Below are 19,943 nucleotides of genomic sequence, written 5' to 3'. Positions count from 1 at the left end.
GCAGCTGCCATGGCTAATTAAATGGTGAAGTGCTGAATTCACAGACATGATTAATACCATCAGGGCGTTTTATGGCTTTAATGTTCATAAATTATGACTGAACAATGAAATTTGTATGTGGGTTATAGGATTTTTCTTCTTAAGGATCAGAATTAATCAGTGTTTTCTCAATTGATTTTAAATATAAATCAGAGGTAGCATCAGTAAATTCTATAGCTTAAGTATTTAGAGAATGATCTCAGAAACAGGACATAATGAAAACCAAGCCACCATCCTAGTGTGATGCAAGCCTAAGGTCTTGTGGATTTTCATTCTAAATGCAATTCAGGAAGGCCAATCAGTTTCTAAAAGGATGGTTCTGGAGACCTTTGTTTCTGAAGTATAACTCCCCTAAATGATCTAATCTTTGCCAGCTAATATATGTGTCAGGGTATGTAACAGAATACAGTAGTCACTCTTTCTTTACCTGGCATTCTAGTGTGACACTAACAAGATTTCCTTAAATTGCATTTTTCTTCCTGGAGTTAAGTGTCTATTTCTTTTCTTTCTTTTTTCTTATTTTTCTTTTTTTTAGAGGCAGGGTCTTACTCTGTCACCCAGGGTGGAATGCAGTGGCAGGATCATAGCTTGCTGCAGCCTGGAACTCCTGGGCTCAAGGGATCCTTCTGCCTCAGCTTCCCAAAATGCTGGGATTACAGGTGTGAGCCACTGTGCCTGGCTGGCTGAAAAGAGCCTATTCTGTTAGCTTTTCTCTAAACTCCTCATTTGTATTTCTATCCAGTTGTTTCTCTGAGCCTTTGTACATAATTAGACCACAAAAGGTGGTACTTGGCTACCTCATCTCGTAAATACTCTCTCTGCTGCCTTACTTAGTGAATGGGGAGATCCCAGTGTTACTCGACGTTGGTGCATTTGAATCTGCCAACATTTCCTTTCTTTGAGCTCATCATCAGTCCTTGACCAGGTAACTTCCCACTCAGATATTTTGGTGAACTGTTAGTGTAGAAGGAGAACAAACTGGCAAGTGATTCTGAGTGAGCTTATCTTCACATAGGAAGGGTGTTTGAAATTTCTCATTTTCAGAATTTCAGAAAGACAGCCAATTCCTTTCTGCTCAGAATGGACTGAGGCTGCTCCCGATTAGGCTGTCTGAGTTCTCTCATTTTTACTCATCACAGTCACATCTGTTTGGGTTTCTGTCTCTCTCCTGGAGATGCCTCTTGAGAGCAGGTCCCCTCAGCTTCCTTACAGCTCCTCTGAGGCCTGCCAAAAGAGATTGGCAGAGAACGATCAGCATTCTATGCCCAGATAACTCACATAACTCTCTCTGAAAAGAATGCTAAAACCTAGTTCTCAAGTGAACCCACGAGGAGTGGAATCAAAGGGACTTTTGCATTTTTTCCTTGGAATCCAATTTAGAATTTATGTTCTCATGGGGTGGGAAGAGAACAGAGAGATGGGAAGTATGAAGAGGGGAAGATAAAGAAGTAGGAACAGGAACATATGGGAAAAATAATCATAGGCTCCCAGAGCCAAAAGGACTTTAAGGAACATGTCATCTGGAGGTTTCCAAACGTTTTGTTTTTAGTACCAGAATCTTTTCATTTTTATTTTTTACGTAAGAAATCATACAATGAGCTCCACTATATAAAACAGATGAAAAGAGAAAGAGAAATAAACAGTTGAATGAAAACAGTTAAAATAGATGAAATCTACTGTTGAAACATTGGCGAGGGAACTTTTATTACTTTTCATTACTTTTAGATTGCTGAAGAATACAAAGTGAAAACTGCCAATCTTGTCTAAGTATTACTTTAAAGATGGGAAAATTGAGGCCTGTAATATGGAGAAATGACATACTCAAGGTCACACAGCCAATTAGTGGCAGAGATAGGATTAAAACATATGTTTCCAGCCTGCCAGGCTAGAACTCTTTGGGAGTTGAGTTAGAAAAAAAAGCTAAGAATGCTTTCTTTCTGAACATGGTCAAAAAGAGAGGTTGGTGGACAATGCAATGGGAGAGCGGACACGTGGGAGAAACAACGGAGAATAGACCCTACCTTAGAATAGAGCATAGAAGAGTTTGAACCACCAGGGATAAGCAGAGATAACTGAAATTTACAAATATGGAGGAGATCCAGGAAGTTCCATAGCAAGGCCACAATGTGAACTGCTAGGAACAAATCAAAACTGGAGAAAAAGGGATTTGGAAATAGGTGTCAAAAGAGAATTCTTTATTACTTCCCCTACACAAATGTCGTACTATTGGCCCAGGATGGCAGTGGGACAGCAAAGACAAGCAAAATATGCTTCTCTAGGATTGGCTGCAATTCTTTCATTATACCTTCTCAAGATGGATGTGACTTTGGCATAGTTTCCTGTTGGAGATTTGAAAGTAATATTCACATTCGTCTCTGAAATTTTAAGCACCTGGGAAATAGACATGAGAGTTAGGAAAACGCGAACATATCTGCTTTGTGTGTGTGTGTGTGCGCGCGCGTGTGTGCGTGTGTGGAGTTTCGCTCTTATCGCCCAGGCTGGAGTGTGGTGGCCTGATCTTGGCTCACTGCAACCTCCGCCTCCCGGGTTCAAGCGATTCTCATGCCTCAGGCTCCCAAGAAGCTGGGACTACAGGCAGGCGCCACCATGCCTGGCTAATTTTGTATTTTTAGTAGAGACAGGGTTTCACCATGTTGGCCAGGCTGGTCTCAAACTCCTGACCTCAGGTGATCTGCTTGCCTCAGCCTCCCAAAATTCTGGGATAACAGGCGTGAGGCACTACGCCTGGCCAATATCTGCATTATTAATGGTTAAGTTCATTGAGCAATATGATTTGGACCCAATTTCAAAATGGTTTTCTTTCACTTTCTGCCCCAGATTGAATTTACCCTCTGGTCACAGGCCTTTGTGAGTTCTCTTTGTGGAAGAGAGAGGAGAATGAATGAGGTCCGTAGACAGACAGATCACAGAGAGATGCCCCCTTCTCAAGTCTCATTAATAATGTGCCATGCATTTTCCTGTTCATGAAAACAAAAGATTCAAGGGGGTCAGGATATAAAAAGACAGAAATATCTTTTGTGGGTTGGCAGGAACATGTGACAGAGGGAGAGTCTCGTTCCCCCTCCCCCATACTCTTCATTTTTCAATATTATACAATTTAATCAGGGAGAGAAGGATTAGAGCAAGAAGGACATCTACAAACACGTGTAGAATCACCTGGTTATCAGCCTTGGCCCAGTGGTTCCATGAGCTTATGTGGATGGTAGACAGGAGTTAGAAACAAAAGGATGTATTTACAGTTTGTGTTTGCAAATTTGTAATAAATGCCCCCGCCATTCTTATTATATATTCCTGAAGTCTTCTCTGAGTCTGTTTACCTCTAATATGTACCACAGAGTGTCCACACCAATAATTCTACAGGCGTCCTGAAAATACCTTATGAATGGTGTTTGCAGAAGCAAACAGTGAGAGCTATCTGAGAGGAGAAGTGGAGGAAAAACGGTGTGGGAAAGCCCTTATGATTTTCTCAATACCATCTCTTCTTCTAAGGTCTATCCCCTTCCTGAATCAGAACTTCATCCTTCTTTAGCTTTTGCATGCCTGCTCTGGGTCAGGATCCCAAGAGAGAAATGAGAGTAGGAACAAAAGGCCCTTGGGGTTGGTGCTTGGCAGAAGGTAAAAACATGCAGAGAATAAGCAGAGACCTTGTACCTGTTCATCACCCACCCCAAATATTTGGGCTTGATCAAAGCTTCTCCTGACCCCTCTTTATGTAAGATATTTCCCTTCATGGTATCTGGAATTTAAACAACAATCACAAACATTTTGAACTAGGAAATAGCCTCCTACTCTTCAGAATCAATATCAATCAGTCATTCCTCAGGGATTTATTTTTCCCTATGAATCAAATTTTAAAGAAGTGGATACTTGAATAGACTTGAGGTGTTAAAACTCTCGTCTACCTTGTCCTCCCTTTTCATTTGGGAAAGCCAAAAGCACAAAAGAGTAGGTAGAAAATGTCAGACCCTTTGGCATCATTCTCCTGTAACTATCAGTCTCAACCCACTGCAACCTTTACCCCAGTCTGCCTTGCAGACACACAGTGGTGCTTCTGATGGAGCAAGAGACATTTCAAGATTGCAGAGAAGTGGAAGGAGGGGTAGCAACAGCTTCCCCTGTGAAGCAATGGAATCTACAGAAGGGTCCGGTGATTCAGCTCTTATGGGCTAAGAAGCCTGAAAGCATTTCAGTGTTGCTGAGTCCGAGCTTGTTTGTTGGGTAGTCAGGCAAGGAAAAAAGGGCTAGAGTCTGAAGATAAGCTGAGCATCTGGTTTTGCATCTACATTAGTTCTGAAAAGAGGTGATGGGGGTGCCATGTAGGAGTCCAGTAAAGACGGTGTAGGGCTGCCAGGTAGTAGAGCTGCTCTATTTTGCTTCCTAGTTGGCCTCAGAAATCAAGTAAAATAGTCAAATAATTGTGTCTGTTTGAAGGTAGGGATGTAGACAGGCCATTTCTCTTTGCTGCATTTCTGGCCTCAAAACCTCTTCTTTCTTTTCCTCCAGAATAAAATATAACACAGGGAGAGGACAGAACTTGTTAATAGACTGAGGCCAGCAAAAAGCCAGACTGGTTCCTGAATTGGAGGGAAGGAGGCTGCCTGACTTTGGAGGAGCAGAAAAAAATAAGTTAGGAGATTAGAGATGGGCCACAGCTTAAATAGAGAGGTTCGACTCTGCATTTCCCAAATACGTAATGCTTACGGTACACGACCCAAGCTCTCTGCTTGAATCCCAAATCTGAGCGGACAGATGAGGGGGCGCAGAGGAAAAACAGGTTTTGGACCCTACAAATTGGCTTGAAATGAAAAGTCAGCAAAAACCACTGGGTGGCAGCGTGGTGTGCGGGCGCAGCTCTGCAGTGTCTGCTTCTGCTGCTACCGCTGGGGCTGAACCCGTCTGGGGACTCTGGCCTCCTCCCCTGAATGGCTACAAGTGTCGCCAAGCAAAATACCTCTGCGCGGGTGGGTGAGGGTTCTCCGGGTTGTTGGTGCGTCCAAGCCTGAGGCAGGGATCTGGCGAACTTCTGAGGGGCTCCAGCCCGAGCACAATCTGGTCAGCTCAAACACTGAGGAAACACCCCCACCACTCCATCCCCCAATGCCGAGCAAACCCCCGCTCCGTCAGCCCAACTACCTCATCTCAGTTCCTCCTCCATCACTGTTTCCTCCCGAAGCTCCTTTCGGGAAAAGGAGGGGAGAAGGATTTGGACGACTGGGGCAGTGCGGAAGCCCCTACAGGTGTTAGCCGGAACGGGCGGCCGGGGACTTGGGGGGGTGGGGGTGGGGGTGGGGGTGGGAGGGGCGGCCTGCGGCTCCGAGCCTACGGGCTCAGCCCCGGGAGGGAGGGGCCGTCGCGGGAGGGGGCTGCAAGGAGGCTGTCGCGCTGTTCCGGAGGGTGCCTGCGGCGGCTGAATTCCTGTGCTGCGACTGTGCCGCGCCCAGAGCAGCAGCAACAGCGAAGATGCGAGGCCATTACCTGTTTGATCCCTGTCGGAAACCTGGCACGGGCCAACTTTTCCCGATTATCACGCCAAGAAGTTGCAAGGACTAGTCGAAGACTCGGAGGGGCCAGGGCGAGGGCGCGCTCCCCCGCGCGCTGCCTCGTCCCTCCTCCGTCCGGCCGCCCGAGCTCCCGGCCTCTCTCCCGCCCGCGCTCACTCCCTCCGCCCGCCTCCCTCCTCTGGCCCCCATCAGAAGGGCAACAGGGCGAGGGGGTCCGGCGAAATTCGGACCGGAGCAGCTGGACATGCACGGTGTCCGCCGGGCGCAGGGGCCGACCACACGCAGTCGCGCAGTTCAGCATCCGCGTGCCAGTCTCGCCCGCGATCCCGGGCCCGGGGCTGTGGCGTCGACTCCGACCCAGGCAGCCAGCAGCCCGCGCGGGAGCCGGACCGCCGCCGGAGGAGCTCGGACGGCATGCTGAGCCCCCTCCTTGGCTGAAGCCCGAGTGCGGAGAAGCCCGGGCAAACGCAGGCTAAGGAGACCAAAGCGGCGAAGTCGCGAGACAGCGGACAAGCAGCGGAGGAGAAGGAGGAGGAGGCGAACCCAGAGAGGGGCAGCAAAAGAAGCGGTGGTGGTGGGCGTCGTGGCCATGGCGGCGGCTATCGCCAGCTCGCTCATCCGTCAGAAGAGGCAAGCCCGCGAGCGCGAGAAATCCAACGCCTGCAAGTGTGTCAGCAGCCCCAGCAAAGGCAAGACCAGCTGCGACAAAAACAAGTTAAATGTCTTTTCCCGGGTCAAACTCTTCGGCTCCAAGAAGAGGCGCAGAAGAAGACCAGGTCGGAAAGGGCTTTTGCTTTCTTTTCCCCATACTTTACGAGTGAGGTGGGGGCGGTGGGGAGCAGGTATGTAGCATAGGTGAGTTTGTTGGTGGCCCATCTTGTGCAGAAGAGGCCACCTAGCCTGTGTGCGTGCGTGGGAAGGCGCTGGCTTTCTTGCCTCCGTAACAGTAACACGCTTGCTGCATTGCAACTGCCCTGGGACAGGCGCAGAGCCTGGGGGCATACTCTGCCCTGGGTGGCTTGCCCTCAGCTTCGGACATGTCACATATGTGCATGCCCGGTGGGCTCTGGGCAGGCGTGACCCAGACATGGCTGTGATATGTATGGCGTGGAAATTGCAGGCGCAGAGCTGGGCAGACACCATCCTCCCGTCCCCAGGAGAGCCTGGGGAATCCCTCTCTTGCTTTTATCTCTGCCTCAGACCCTTCCCCTCCAGCTTCCACCTCCAAGGGATGTGGGCTTCTGCTGTCTAGGCATTGCGTTTCTTTGATGACTTTTAAGCTTTTTGGGACAGACTTGACTTGTGGTGCAGCTTCGAAATGTTTGCTGGGGCGGGGGGAGGGGGGATTTCTAGAACCTTGTTGCAAAGAGCTGAGAGATTTGGTTAGACTTAGTGTAATCGGTTACATGCTACTAAAATGCGGTGTTGAAGAGGGGATTTAAGCTCATACCCAGACTGTGGTGCTTTTGAACATTTTCAGTGGTAGGAGTAGCGCGATATTCCAGCGACTGGAAATTCAGCTCTAGGTGTCAGGTTGCGTCAAGGCAGACCTTCAGGCGAGCATGCAGTTTATTTGCCATTCTTAACCAAATGAATCTTTTACACTCTTTTCTGCCTTTTACTAGATAAATATTACAAAAAAAATAAGAGTCACCGATCTGTTATTTCTCCATTTATGTGTGCTACACCCTGGGATGGAAAAGCAGACATAACGTTTTCTGTTTGCACAAAGTTTTTAATGCATTAACTGTAAATTAGGCTTGTTTCAAAAAGGCTTAAGTGGTTGCAAAGCATGCTTATGTGGCTCGAATAATCACATAAATATTATTTCAGCGCAGGAGTCTATATTCAGTAAAAGAAAATTTTGGATAACATGGCTGTTATTGGTAAATGAGACACTTGATTGATCTATGGTTATTCATAATTGAAAATCATTTTAATTAAGAACTCATATTTTTGATAATCATACTTCTGATATGAAATTTGAAAAATTAGTATGCACTGATTTTTTCCTTCCTACCAACAAAAACCCTGCTCTTTTCACACACATTTTCACTAATGATAATTAATATGACAAGATTTGTTAATGGTGGTTGTATCTCCCTCCTCCCTTTTTTGGTATAAAAGGCTCAATTTTCCAAATACAGTTTCCTTAATGGGGTTCCACGTTATTTATGCATTTTCTACCTTCTTAGAATAAAGGAGATTATTTATTCAAATTGTGGTCATTCTGAAGGAAATCTTTGCTAGTGGGTTTTTGGTCCTTGGTCGGTTGGCAGACAACTCTGAATTATCTTTCTATTTCTCCTTTTCCTTTCACATGAAAAGTAGCACAATTTCAAAAGGCAGAATAGCCATTTGCCAACCCATTACAAATACTCAGTGAGATAGAGTTCCACTCTGTAAACCAAAGGACAGGTTATCAGAAACTATAGACACTTTCAGAAGCTTTACCAATGTTTCCAGATAGAAATAAAATGTTTCTTTAGTTTGAAAATTTATTCTGAAACTCAGAGTTTGTTTTCTTTCTTCCAGACACCTTAAAAGTGTAGTTTGACTTTTTCCATTAAGATTTGTAAATGAAATTAGAAATTGAAATTCCTAGTCTTTTCAACTACATAGGCACAATTTATCAATTGATCCAAATCATTGTTCTCTTTGCAGAGCCTCAGCTTAAGGGTATAGTTACCAAGCTATACAGCCGACAAGGCTACCACTTGCAGCTGCAGGCGGATGGAACCATTGATGGCACCAAAGATGAGGACAGCACTTACAGTAAGTGACTGCAAAATAAATAGTATATGCCAGCATGTTGTTAACATTCTGTTTTTATTTATTTTAAAAATAAATACGCTTTCCTAAATCCTGAATTAAATGCAAAATATATTCACACTACATAATCCTGTTTACACAGGTTAACCTAAAGGAAGTTGAATATGAGTCTGTCTAAGATAGTAAACTAGGGCAAATAATGTTGACACCATCTGAAGAATAATCCAAATGTCATCTCCATGGAAATCTAGATAGATTTATGGCTATCCTTTGGATTTTATTACTTTTTTCCCACAGAAAATTTACTCACCCACACACTGATCCAGAAATAGCATGTTATCTCTACTCTTAAGAACCGGTCTTAACCCAAGAGAGAGGAGTGGTTTCATACCATGAAAATTCATCATTACAAGCTTTCACTTCTGCTCCCTGCTCCACACACACACTGATAACTCTGAGACTAGTGGAATTTTAACATTGAGATACCTCCGCAGGTGGGTAAAGGGATTTCTTTTAGTTCTTTCTTTTTAACCATGGTTTCAGACCAAATTGGAGACTATAATGGTGAGCCTAAAAAAGAAACACATAAAAAATAATTAGGTTTTATTTCCAATTACTGAAAGAAGGTGATTCCAAGATGTTACGTAACCTTTAATTACATGTTTTATTTATTAGGAGTAATAAAAATATAAACTCACAAATAGTGCAGGCTTCTCCTCAATGATGATTGATGTTTTCTTGCAATTTACAGATTTCTGGAGACTTACTAAATGTTCCACAAGGCTAAAACACTTAGTTCTCACAATTTTTTTTGTTTTCTCCAATTTCTACTGAATTTCTCTCAAACCCTTTGATAATTTCGCATTAATATTCCAATTGTCGGCTGAGAAAATAACCAAGGAAACTAGGTCTGAATGCTAAGCAGTATACTCTGCAGCTTTTTAAGAGTTGTATGGCTACAGCAATGCCATTGACGAGGGTCTCAATAAGTGTAAAGAGTTTCCCACCTTTTAGGAATGCTTCGTGGGCTGATGGCCGATCTATAACCTCGAGAGGAAGTCACTTTTAATTACCATTGAAGAAAGCTTTGTTGGTATGGAGGATGAAAAAACCTCATACTGAATGGTTCTTCACTGTTTTGCAAAAGTTCTATGTCACTGTTGTGATATTAAAGTTTTATAGTAAATCCTAGTTGTTCTTTTATGCATAGTCTTCTATTTGAAACTATTAGGCAAGTGTAACTAGAGGGCTTTACTGTAATCAAATAACAGACATTAGTGTATAGTGATCATCTGCAATAAAACATTCCCATAAGTTATTGTGCAAATTGATATTTGGGGAAGGAATTAGGGGATGTAAGCTGCCCTGCTTTCCAGAGTGCCTCAGGAAAATGGGTCTGTTGAGCATTATTGAAGGCAAGTTCATGATTAGCTGCCAGTGAGCCTATCCAGTCACGTTTCTTTCCCCTTTTTAACATCTCCGGGTACAAATCAGAGAAGAAATATTTTGGATCTGGTGTTCACATGTGTTTCCTGAAAAGAAATAAAAAAAAAGTAGATAATTCATGTGCTGTGTCCTATGAACAGCAATATACCAAATTCATCGAGATCACATTCTAAGTAATCATTTTAAGAGATACACACACACACACCACACACGCATATATCAAGGCTCCATTTCTTACTGTGGAGCTTTAAATCATACAGTAGGTTTTACTCTTCAGTTCCTACATATGCATAGCTTCTGCCTTTGGTTGTCTTATAACTGACTGATACGCATGGCATTTCTGTGTACTACTAATGATATTGAAAGACCATTAAAGAACATAGCCTGATAACAGGAATCTGTATTTAGGCAGATTAAAATAGAGAGGTAAGTCAACTAAAGGTAAGTATTGTCATAACCTGATGCATACAAATGGAAAGTATCTCAATAGAAATAGCAAGTCAGTAGAGCTTGGATCTGCTCCTGATGTTAAGAGTGACCAGAAGCTAGTGAGCTAGCTCAGCTTTGCCATTGAGGATATTGTGGGGCATAAGCCATCATGAAACAAGAAGGTTTAATGATTAAACTGGTATATCATGAAGGCCAGCTATCCAAATGTATTCTTTTTTTTTCCTTAAAACCAAGCCGTTTTATTGGTATTAATTGTTTAATTGTGCATAACGAGAATACAAGTTGTTTTTTTCAACTATCACTCATGTATATAATATTTCCCTAATATGTATTCGTGATACTATGTTTATATTTTTCTTACTCTTCTTATTTTTATTAACCTTCATTATTTTCAGCATATTTTCTCATTTAGTTTAATTTGATTGAATTGCGTTATTTTTATTCAGACATAGTAAGCAATGTCCTGATAAATCAGTTCACATTTATCCAGATATATCCATTTCTGAAAACATATGTTTGATATTATGCATTTCACCTTACCTTACGTAGATTTATTACAATGATAAATGTCAGTTCAATAAAATCTCATCATGAGGAAATCAGCCATTGTAAATTATGTATTTTCCCTTGAAAAGGAAAAGATGATAGACATTCCATGGCAGTAATTTTATTATGTCTGCCCTGGGTGCAAGGAAGGACATTTTAAAAGACTAGTTTTCCCTTTCTCTTCAAACTCACGGTAGCATTATCAGTTCAACATGTTGCCTTTCCAACCTACGTTAATATATACTTTCATTAATTATTCTCTTTTGAGAAATTGACCTTGGCCAACTGATGAAGAAGCATGGCTTCAGTGTTGCCTTCAGCAAACACTGGGTGCCAACTAGGTACATGGCTCTGATTAAGTGGCCCTTCAAATAGAAGGTGTTTGTTTTTATGCAGACATAACAGAGAACAAACAAGAAACACAGGCACATTTATGTTTTAAAAGCTTCTTCAAAACTTTCACTGAAATGGAAGAAGAGATTTTAGGTATTTAATGAATGTGTTTTAAATCCATAAATGAAGTCAACTGTTTTCTTCTCATGTTTATAGTATTTTTATCCTGATCAAAATAATATATTAAATCCATGAGGAAAGGTACCAGATATAGAGAAACAAAAGCACATAGGAGGATATTTATTTGGTTTAAGCTCACCCCTGATATAATTTCTTTGCATTTTTATCTGGGCAGACTGTCCCTTTAGACATATTTTAAACAAACCCGGTTTATGATCTATCTTGAATGTTTAAAGAAATGAAAAGATCGTAGTAGTATGATCAGTCAATCCCTAGATTCGCTACTCTCAACAAGTTTTTATTTTGGGGTGATGTTTTTTGTTTTTTAATCAGGCTTCATGGAAATTTAAAGTACATAGTGAAAAGTACATAGTTTTGCTATATAGTTAATACCATTATTCAAGATTAAATAATCACAGGAATGTACTGCTGATGTTTTTTTCTTCTATTCCTCCTTCTGTTTTCTGATGTTTGAAATTTAGACATTTCATTGCTCATTAAAACCTGAGTCAGAGTGATTGGAGAACACGGTGAAAATCAAATCAGTTTTTTTTAGTCTCTCTCTGTTTCTTTCTTGTGCTTGTTATAAGCTGCATTAAGAGAACTAAGAAAGTTCATAATATTATTTTAAAAACTGAAGTTCTATAAATAATTCTGAATTTCATTTATCATTCTCTGTCATTTATTACTATGACTAAACTAGGTGTCAAGCATATACTGATATTATAGTTGTCAAGTGGTATGTAGTGATATGGCTTTTAAACCAACCCCATGTTGGAAGTTTTGCTTTAGTTTTTTAGATCTCAGATTTTTTGAAGTATGAGCTTTTATATAAATGGGATTGTGGTCTCTTACTTTTCAAAAACATAGTATCATATTTTCACCATACAGATTGCTATCAATCCACAAATGGGTGTTGAACACCTGCTGTGAACAAGACATCGTCAACAGAAAGGGATATGACAAACATGACATGCTCAGAGATGTCAGACTTCTTGCCTGTGTATTGCATTGTCAAATATAGCATGAGATCTTGGCTTGCAATCTGTGCAATTACATTCCTTTACCTCACATAACAGAAGGGCACAGCTTTTAATTTGATGAGTATTGAATGAAGTGCCATCAGTGGCATGTGGTAGGAACACTTGTCTTTTGAACCGTACAATATGTCCTAGCTCCTCTTTGGTAACACCCTGGTTTTAAAGGAACGATACGTTGTAGGCTCACCAAGGAATATTTAGGTCTTCATTAGTATTTCTCATCCATATTACCCCACCTACTGCAGCAGAATGTATATGCACAGAGATAAACGATCCCAGAAAAACTATTCTTACCCACAGGGTGACTCCTTTACATTCTTGTTCACAGAAACCATAACAGACTGATTTATTATCCTCAATAAACTTACAAAACAAGGCAAAATCATCAACATTGGTCTACGACTCCTGAGAGAAAGGTGCACAGGCTATTTTCAAAAGATGTGTGTGGCAAGCACTACGTTTTAAAAATGTACTGTTTTATTTTTATTCACAGTGTGGGAGGGAGTAGACAGCTGGTAGTGGGAGGACACCCACTAGTTGTCTCCAGTGAGTGGTGTGTGGTTGTGAGGAAAGCCTGGGTGTAAGTTTCACGCAGTCAGATCTTCAAATGGAGAAATGAAGTCCTCACTGGCACCAACTGGCTGCCCACTTGCAACTATTTTGCTAAAATAATAATAATAAAATAATAAAATAAACCTCTTTCAAGTTCATTATTTTTATTCCTATGTCCTTTGTTCTTGGAGACTAAAAGCTAGGAGCCCTCTCAACTCTAATCTTGGAAAATGTTGGTCCTTTAAGAAATACTACTCTGAAGCCGGGCATGGTGGCTCACGCCTGTAATCCCAGCACTTTGGGAGGCCGAGGCAGGCAGATCACCTGAGGTCAGGAGTTCGAGACCAGCCTGACCAACATGGAGAAACCCCGTCTCTACTAAAAATACAAAATTAGCCGGGCGTGGTGGCACATGCTTGTAATCCCAGCCACTAGGGAGGCTAAGACAGGAGAATCACTTGAACCCAGGAGGTGGAGGTTGTGGTGAGCCGAGATCGGGCCATTGCACTCCAGCCTGGGAAACAAGAGCGAAACTCTGTCTCAAAAAATGAAAAAAGGAAATACTACTCTGGAAACATAGGACTACAAAATGACTTTTTCTTTTTACAAGACCTGAATTTATTTTGGAGTTCTTGTATTTGGAATAACACAGATAATTTAGATGAGGGCATTGGACTCTTCTAAAAGTCTAGGACTCTCTACCCAACAGGTAGATTTTAAATATGACTGTGAGAATTTCAGCAGTTATCTTGGGGAGCAGTTTAAAACCTTAATTTGTTGAGAATGACACTATTTAATGTACAGAACAATTCTTGGGACTGTATCTTTCCAGAAGCATCAAGATTCCCCACCTCCAACACTGTAAAAACCATGAAATTGTGACCAAAAGCCTTCCATTTTCTCCAGGCTGTTAAATAATATGTAGTTACAGCTCCAGTTACCTGGCTGCAACCATGAAATTAAATACACTAAAAGGTAGAATGAGACCTATCTGTCTGCCTCGGGGTATGTGTGGGTGTGTTTGTGGGGGTCTGTATGTGTATGCATGTCTACATAAACAGACATATATGCATACCCTCACCAACTACACACTACTTTTGGAGGACCAGGCAGTCCTGCTGGAAACATTGAAAAGTTCTGAAATTCAGAATTGTAACACTGTTTTCATTTTCTTTTTTAATTTCAGCTCTGTTTAACCTCATCCCTGTGGGTCTGCGAGTGGTGGCTATCCAAGGAGTTCAAACCAAGCTGTACTTGGCAATGAACAGTGAGGGATACTTGTACACCTCGGTAAGCTTTTGACTGTGTGCATGTTTTGACTATTCTAGTTTTCATCCAATATGAAAGAAAATGTGCTTTATATGTGTTATCATTACAGATTTCTGTGATGAGGAGAAGAATGTTGATGGAAATATTTCATTGAAAGGACAGATTAACTTTCTGTGAAAAATATATCTATTACTAATCAGTTATTTGAAGCAAGCATTTTAGTATATAATCAAAGATTCACTGAACATTTTTTAATACAGTGTCATTTGGGTCATCTTATGTAGCATATAATGGTCTGTCTTGCTGCCTTGCTTTGCAGCTGTGGGAAACAAAGTCATTTCTATAACTCAGTTGAACATATATTTATCCAGGTTTACTCCTAAAAAAACATGAGATCTCTCCCTCAGATCAGCTCGAGGACATGAAAACCAGTTCTTGAAGGGTTTCTAGAGTTCTATTTCTTATCTTCAGTTTAATTGAACAGGATTCCTGATTGCTTCTGCTTTAAATATAAGCACTATTTAACCTTTCCTTACCTATAAATTCCTGCTTGTCTTTTTCTTGTAACTTTGGAGTGAACAGAATGAAAAATGGAACTTTTTCTCAGATGAATGTATAAACAATGTAGATTACAATTCAATATGGAACATGGGGCCAAATTAAACTTTAAAAAAAGTTAACATTTAGATATAAGCAAAATGATACAGTATTAGGGTTAAGATTTTATTCTTATTGGCAGATCTAGTTTCAGATTATAAGAGACTATTTGATATATGAATTTTTATTTTAACTTAATTAATTAATTAATTTATTTATTTATTTATTTGAGATAGAATCTTGCTCTGTGGCCCAGGCTGGAGTGCCGTGGTGACACTCCATATTTTTAGCAGAGATGGGTTTCACCACGTTGGCCAGGCTAGTCTCGAACTCCTGGTCTCGAATGATCCGCCTGCCATGGCCTCCCAAGTTGCTGGGATTACAGGCGTGAGCCACCGTGCCCAGCGTAATATATGAGTATTTTTTAAATCTTTGTTTTGAATTCATGTATTTTAATAAAGGAAAAGAATGTTTAAAATGGAGAAAATTGCTTGTCGAACTTCTTACTAGCAAGTCTTGAAGCAGGTTGTTAGTATAACAATAAAAATCTGTTCCTCAAACTTCAGGTGAAACACTACCTTTAACCACTCTTGCTTGCTTGTTTCCTGAATTTCTTTCAAAGCCAGGTGTGCAGGAAGACTCTTGGCAGATATGGTGGAAACCATATGATAACCCTGTTTTGCAGAGGCCAAGATGGGAAAGAGGTGGGAATAGAGTAAGGCCCCAGAGGGCCTGTTTATTTGGTAAATCAGGTAGTTTGTTTCATATGATGAGAAAAGATTATGAAAAAAAGAGAATTATCAGCATATACCTCAAACCCTGGTCACTATCAGTTTTCCTATCAGGCAATTTCAGTGGTCTGGTTGCTTAATAAATATGGGGGTTTGCTCTTTTTACTAAATGAAAAATGTGATTTTATGGCAAAGTTCATGAAATACGTCATTTTATTACTAGAGTGCTACTATAAAAGATAGGAAAGGGGATTTTATTTTAGATTTGTGTACTAAGGTAAGATAATTTAATAATGAAGGATTTTAAGTAATTTCCTTTAGATCAACAGACTGCCTCAGCAGGACCAGATACAAAGGTAGGTTTTTTAATAAAATAGACGCTTTCTGAAAATATTGTGAAGGCATGATAAGGAAACGGAATATACTGGGCATACTTTTGAGAAAGCACATGCCAGATATCATATGAAATAATTACTGATAAATCATCCAGAATTTCAATGGGTTGCAGTCACCGTTATGGTGCCCTGATGAGAAAAGCTAACTAAATATAAATTTTGCAACATCACAATTGAAGAACGTACTTTGGAAATAATATTTAAGTAAGAATGTGGAAAATTATTTAACTTGGGTTATATGTCAGGTGCCCCCACTCAAGAAAATTAGGGCACTCAGCATTACACTTAAGGAACCAGCGTTGAAAATGCATAGCCTACCATTCAAATTAATCATTATTCCAGCAAACTGGTAAATGTCAATGTGAGCTCATTTCTAGAAAGGCTTCCCAGGGAAATGAGGACTGTAGATTGGTGAACTTCCTTTCCGTGATGGGTGGGCCAATATACATCCAAATGTGGCACATCTTGTATGTATTTCCTATTAAGAAAAAAGAAGCCTTAAGTAAGTGTTTCTATTAGAGAAAAGGAACTATGTTTTTGTTAAGGAGGAAATATGCCTGCTTGATGATCCTGGAGTTCATATATGGAAAGAATATCCAAATTAGTCTGCTCCAGGAAATAAATCAGAATCCTCTTTAGAATTAATTTTCCAATTCTTCCAATTACTCCTTATTAATTGTGGCTGGGAATCCATTCACCAAGTTGATCACCATCCTCAGTGGGCACTTCATTTTGTTGTCATCTTATTTAAAGTGTGGTGCCCAGATTACTTAGGATGGAGTTCTATCCTAATAACTTCAGCAACTTATATTGCTGAGATCAAAAGCTTAATGAAATATCATGTTTCATCAAGAAGAGACAGCAACCAAAGAGGAAGGATCACTCTTCCCTTGCGTAAAACCATGGCACTTCTACTACAAAATGCTATATGCAATTTTGCAAAGTGCCTCTTAGCAAAGAGAAGACAGAACAGGACAATGACCTAAAGAGAAAGCAAAAGTAAGCAAAGGAGGTAAGGGGCTACTGATGTGGGCAAGTTAAAAAAAATTGGTGAGGGATGACTACAGTCTGCTTAAAAAGCAGTTGCAGTGGGAATGGCTAAAAGGAGATGGATTGCTGAGATATTTTAGAGGTAGAATCATCAGGATTTGGTGGCTGATTGGATTTGGAAGGAAAGCAGGACCACCATACATGGTTAAACATGTATGGTTGCCATTCACTGCACAGATGAGAATGAGGTGTCTTCAGGTAAGAATTAAAAAAAAAACCTTCACAGAAGTCAGAAGTGCTCAGTGGATTATCAGGCGTCATGAGGGAGAGGGGGAATTTTGCCTCTGGCATTTAGGCTGAATAAAGCGGGAAAAAGCAGATTTGAGGAAGTTACCTGAGTATAGCTTTCAAGGGATATTTGAAAATATGAACCTAGCACTTGAGAAAGGGACATGAACTAGAAATAAAACTCGGGAGTTATCACATGTAGGTAGCAGTCCATGCCATGGAAATAGTTATGAAAATATGTAGCATAAGAAGAGGAGAGAGCTTGTCAAATAATGTTAGAAAATAACAGCATGAAAGTGACCAGCAGAGGAAGAATAACTAATTATGGCAGATATAGTGGTATTGCAAAAGCTAAATGGGGAAGGAGTTTTAAGAAGAGTCAGCAATGTGAAATGTTTCATATGTTGTGGGTGATCTTAACAAAAACAGTTTTGGTGGAATATTGGGAACAGAAGCCAGATTCTAGTGGCTTGAGGAGTAAATGGGATGAGAGGAAGTAGAGGCAACAGGTATAGAATTTCTAAGGGAAGGGAAGGGAAGGGTGGGTGTGTATTTAGGGCAGAACACAGGGTTGAGGAAGACTGAGGATTCTTTGGTTAAGGATGTCACTTGAACATATTTGTTAAGTAAAAGAAATGAACAAATAGAAAGGGAGTGATTACAGACATAAGAAATGGTATTCTTTATGGAGTCGAGCTGCAGAAGAGATGGAAGGGTGATGGAATTAAGTATAAGTGAAAGAATTACATTCATCTTGAAAAGAAGGGACACTGAATCTCTAATAGGAGACAAAGAGATGAGGACAGATGCAGACATAGGTTTACTGAGTCTGCAAGTAATAGACAAGGAAGTAGAAGAATTTTCTACCAGATGATCTGCATTTTTCCATTAAAGTAGAATAAGAGGTCACCTACTGAAAGTCAAAGGTATGGGGGTAACCACAGGTAAACAGGGGTGGGAACAACTGTTTTGGGCAAGGGGAATGGAAACAGTTTAATAAACAGGAGTAGGTAAGCTAAGGCCGTGGGTCAAATCCAGCCCACTACCTGTTTATGAAAATAAAGTTTTATTGGAACGCAGCCACACCCATTCATTTACTTATTGTCTACGGCTGCTTTTGCACTGCAACAGCAGAGTTGAATAGTTGCAACAGAGCCCTTATGGCCCACAAAGCCTAAATTATTTACTAAATAACTTGTCCCCTTTACCTCCCAGAAAGTTTGCTGACCCCTAGATTGTAATCAGATAATGATTCTCAGCCTTAGGTACCCATCAGAATTACCTGAGGAACTTTAAGAAATTCCATTCTTTGTGTTACATTTGGACCAATTATATCAATATCCAAGGGTGGGATCTACGCATGAATATTTTCGAAAGCTCCCCAGCTAATGCTTATGAAAACCACTGATCTGAGCTTAAGAAAAATGGTTGTTGAATAGCACTGAGGCACTGAGGACACGCCACTGAAGTCAGAAACCATGAGTTTATATGCACTTAATCATTTGTTCCAAATTCCTGATACCAATGTTTTTCTGTTCTTGCAAGCAAATTGCCTTTACATTTTTGAAGGAATATTTCTTGAGATGATGGAAAATGCTGATCCCTGGAAGAGCGTTCTTATTTTATCTCTTTTTCTTTATTCTACCTTCTTTTGCATTTCTACTTCTATATCCCTCAATTTTGGGGGGGTTGAATTCAACTTTATAGTTTTTGCCATTTATTTTCTCCCTTTTGTCCATTAAATAAAGAAACGACACCTCCACATTGTTATTGTTACAGAGATAGCAATTTACTTTCCATGATTAATCTCAGAATTCTTGCACTGCACCCTCCCTTCCCCGCCCTTTTTTTTTCTTGTTGCCATGGGGGACAGACTTGATGTAGGCACATCTGTGGCACAGAGAATCATAATTAGCCATTATTTCATAACATATTTACTTTTGTCCATGATATATGCTGAGTCTTTCTGGGACTGCAAGAAAGTTGTTATTTGTTGTGCAGAGATAATTTTGTTCTTACCTTTGGTTTTCTTTAGCAATAATAAGGAGTTGTACACAAGCTTTTGAGAGTTCCTCAAAACTTCACAGTATGAATATTTAATAACATAAAGCTATTTGTAATAAATGTTTTAAAACTGCTTGAAATAAATAATCATTGACTATAGAAAGTCAAGTGTCTTAAATATAAAAAAAATTCCCGTTCTATGTCTACTTTAATAAGAAATAACAGATATTAGAAACAGGATAGCAAAAACTCAAAGTTAAACCAAAAGCATTACTATTATTTTTTTTATTTTGGAATGTTCTAGAACTCATTAGCAGCAGTTCTACCCATATAATTACTTACCTTTCAAAAAATTCTAGTTTTCCTTTTTCACAATACACAGTATTGCTTGGGTTGAAGTTGGGGCAGACAAAACGTATAGACAAGTAGAAATCCTTTGACAAGCCTTTTTCATTCATGGATTTCCAGGGAAAACTTGTAGGAGTGATTTTACTGTCACGTTTTGTAGTCCTGGGACTACCATAGCAAACTAGATGCAAGACCAGAAAGCAGTCCTCTTTCTGAGAGTCAGCTTGATGCCATGGGAATGAGACAGCTTGTGTTACTGATCCCAACGGCTCAGTCAGATTGCAATCTGAACTAAGGGGACATATTTTTCTTCTCTACTGGATTATTTTCACATACCTTAAATTTACCGTTTCTTCTCTCATTACATAGAGTTGTTCTTACCTATCACTCAGAACATCTCATAATACAATCTCCTTTGAAGGAGTCACTATCAGAAATAGT

At 40.4% G+C, this 19,943-nt stretch overlaps 1 protein-coding gene and 1 long non-coding RNA gene across 7 annotated transcripts in view; one reads left to right on the top strand and one right to left on the bottom strand.

Annotated features, from left to right (window-relative positions):
- The window catches only part of FGF13 (fibroblast growth factor 13), a 590,297-nt gene that overhangs the window by 487,870 nt on the left and 82,484 nt on the right, over positions 1-19,943 (top strand). For 5 of the 6 annotated variants that reach the window (NM_001139498.2, NM_001139500.2, NM_001139501.2 and 2 more), the window contains 2 exons: positions 8,226-8,336; positions 14,067-14,170. In NM_001139498.2, coding sequence (NP_001132970.1) covers positions 8,226-8,336; positions 14,067-14,170 — 215 coding nt within the window. Of the gene's footprint in view, positions 1-5,436; positions 6,338-8,225; positions 8,337-14,066; positions 14,171-19,943 lie in introns of those variants that run through there. The other variant, NM_004114.5, reaches the window with a different exon arrangement.
- Positions 549-5,047, bottom strand: FGF13-AS1 (FGF13 antisense RNA 1). The gene is made up of 3 exons (NR_038405.1): positions 5,012-5,047; positions 2,345-2,430; positions 549-1,263 (listed from the first exon to the last, which is right to left on the bottom strand). It is a non-coding gene; the product is annotated as an FGF13 antisense RNA 1 (long non-coding RNA).

The sequence above is a fragment of the Homo sapiens genome, chromosome X (assembly GCF_000001405.40).
Source record: "Homo sapiens chromosome X, GRCh38.p14 Primary Assembly".
Taxonomy (NCBI): domain Eukaryota; kingdom Metazoa; phylum Chordata; class Mammalia; order Primates; family Hominidae; genus Homo; species Homo sapiens.
This window is presented reverse-complemented; position numbering and strand designations above follow the sequence as displayed.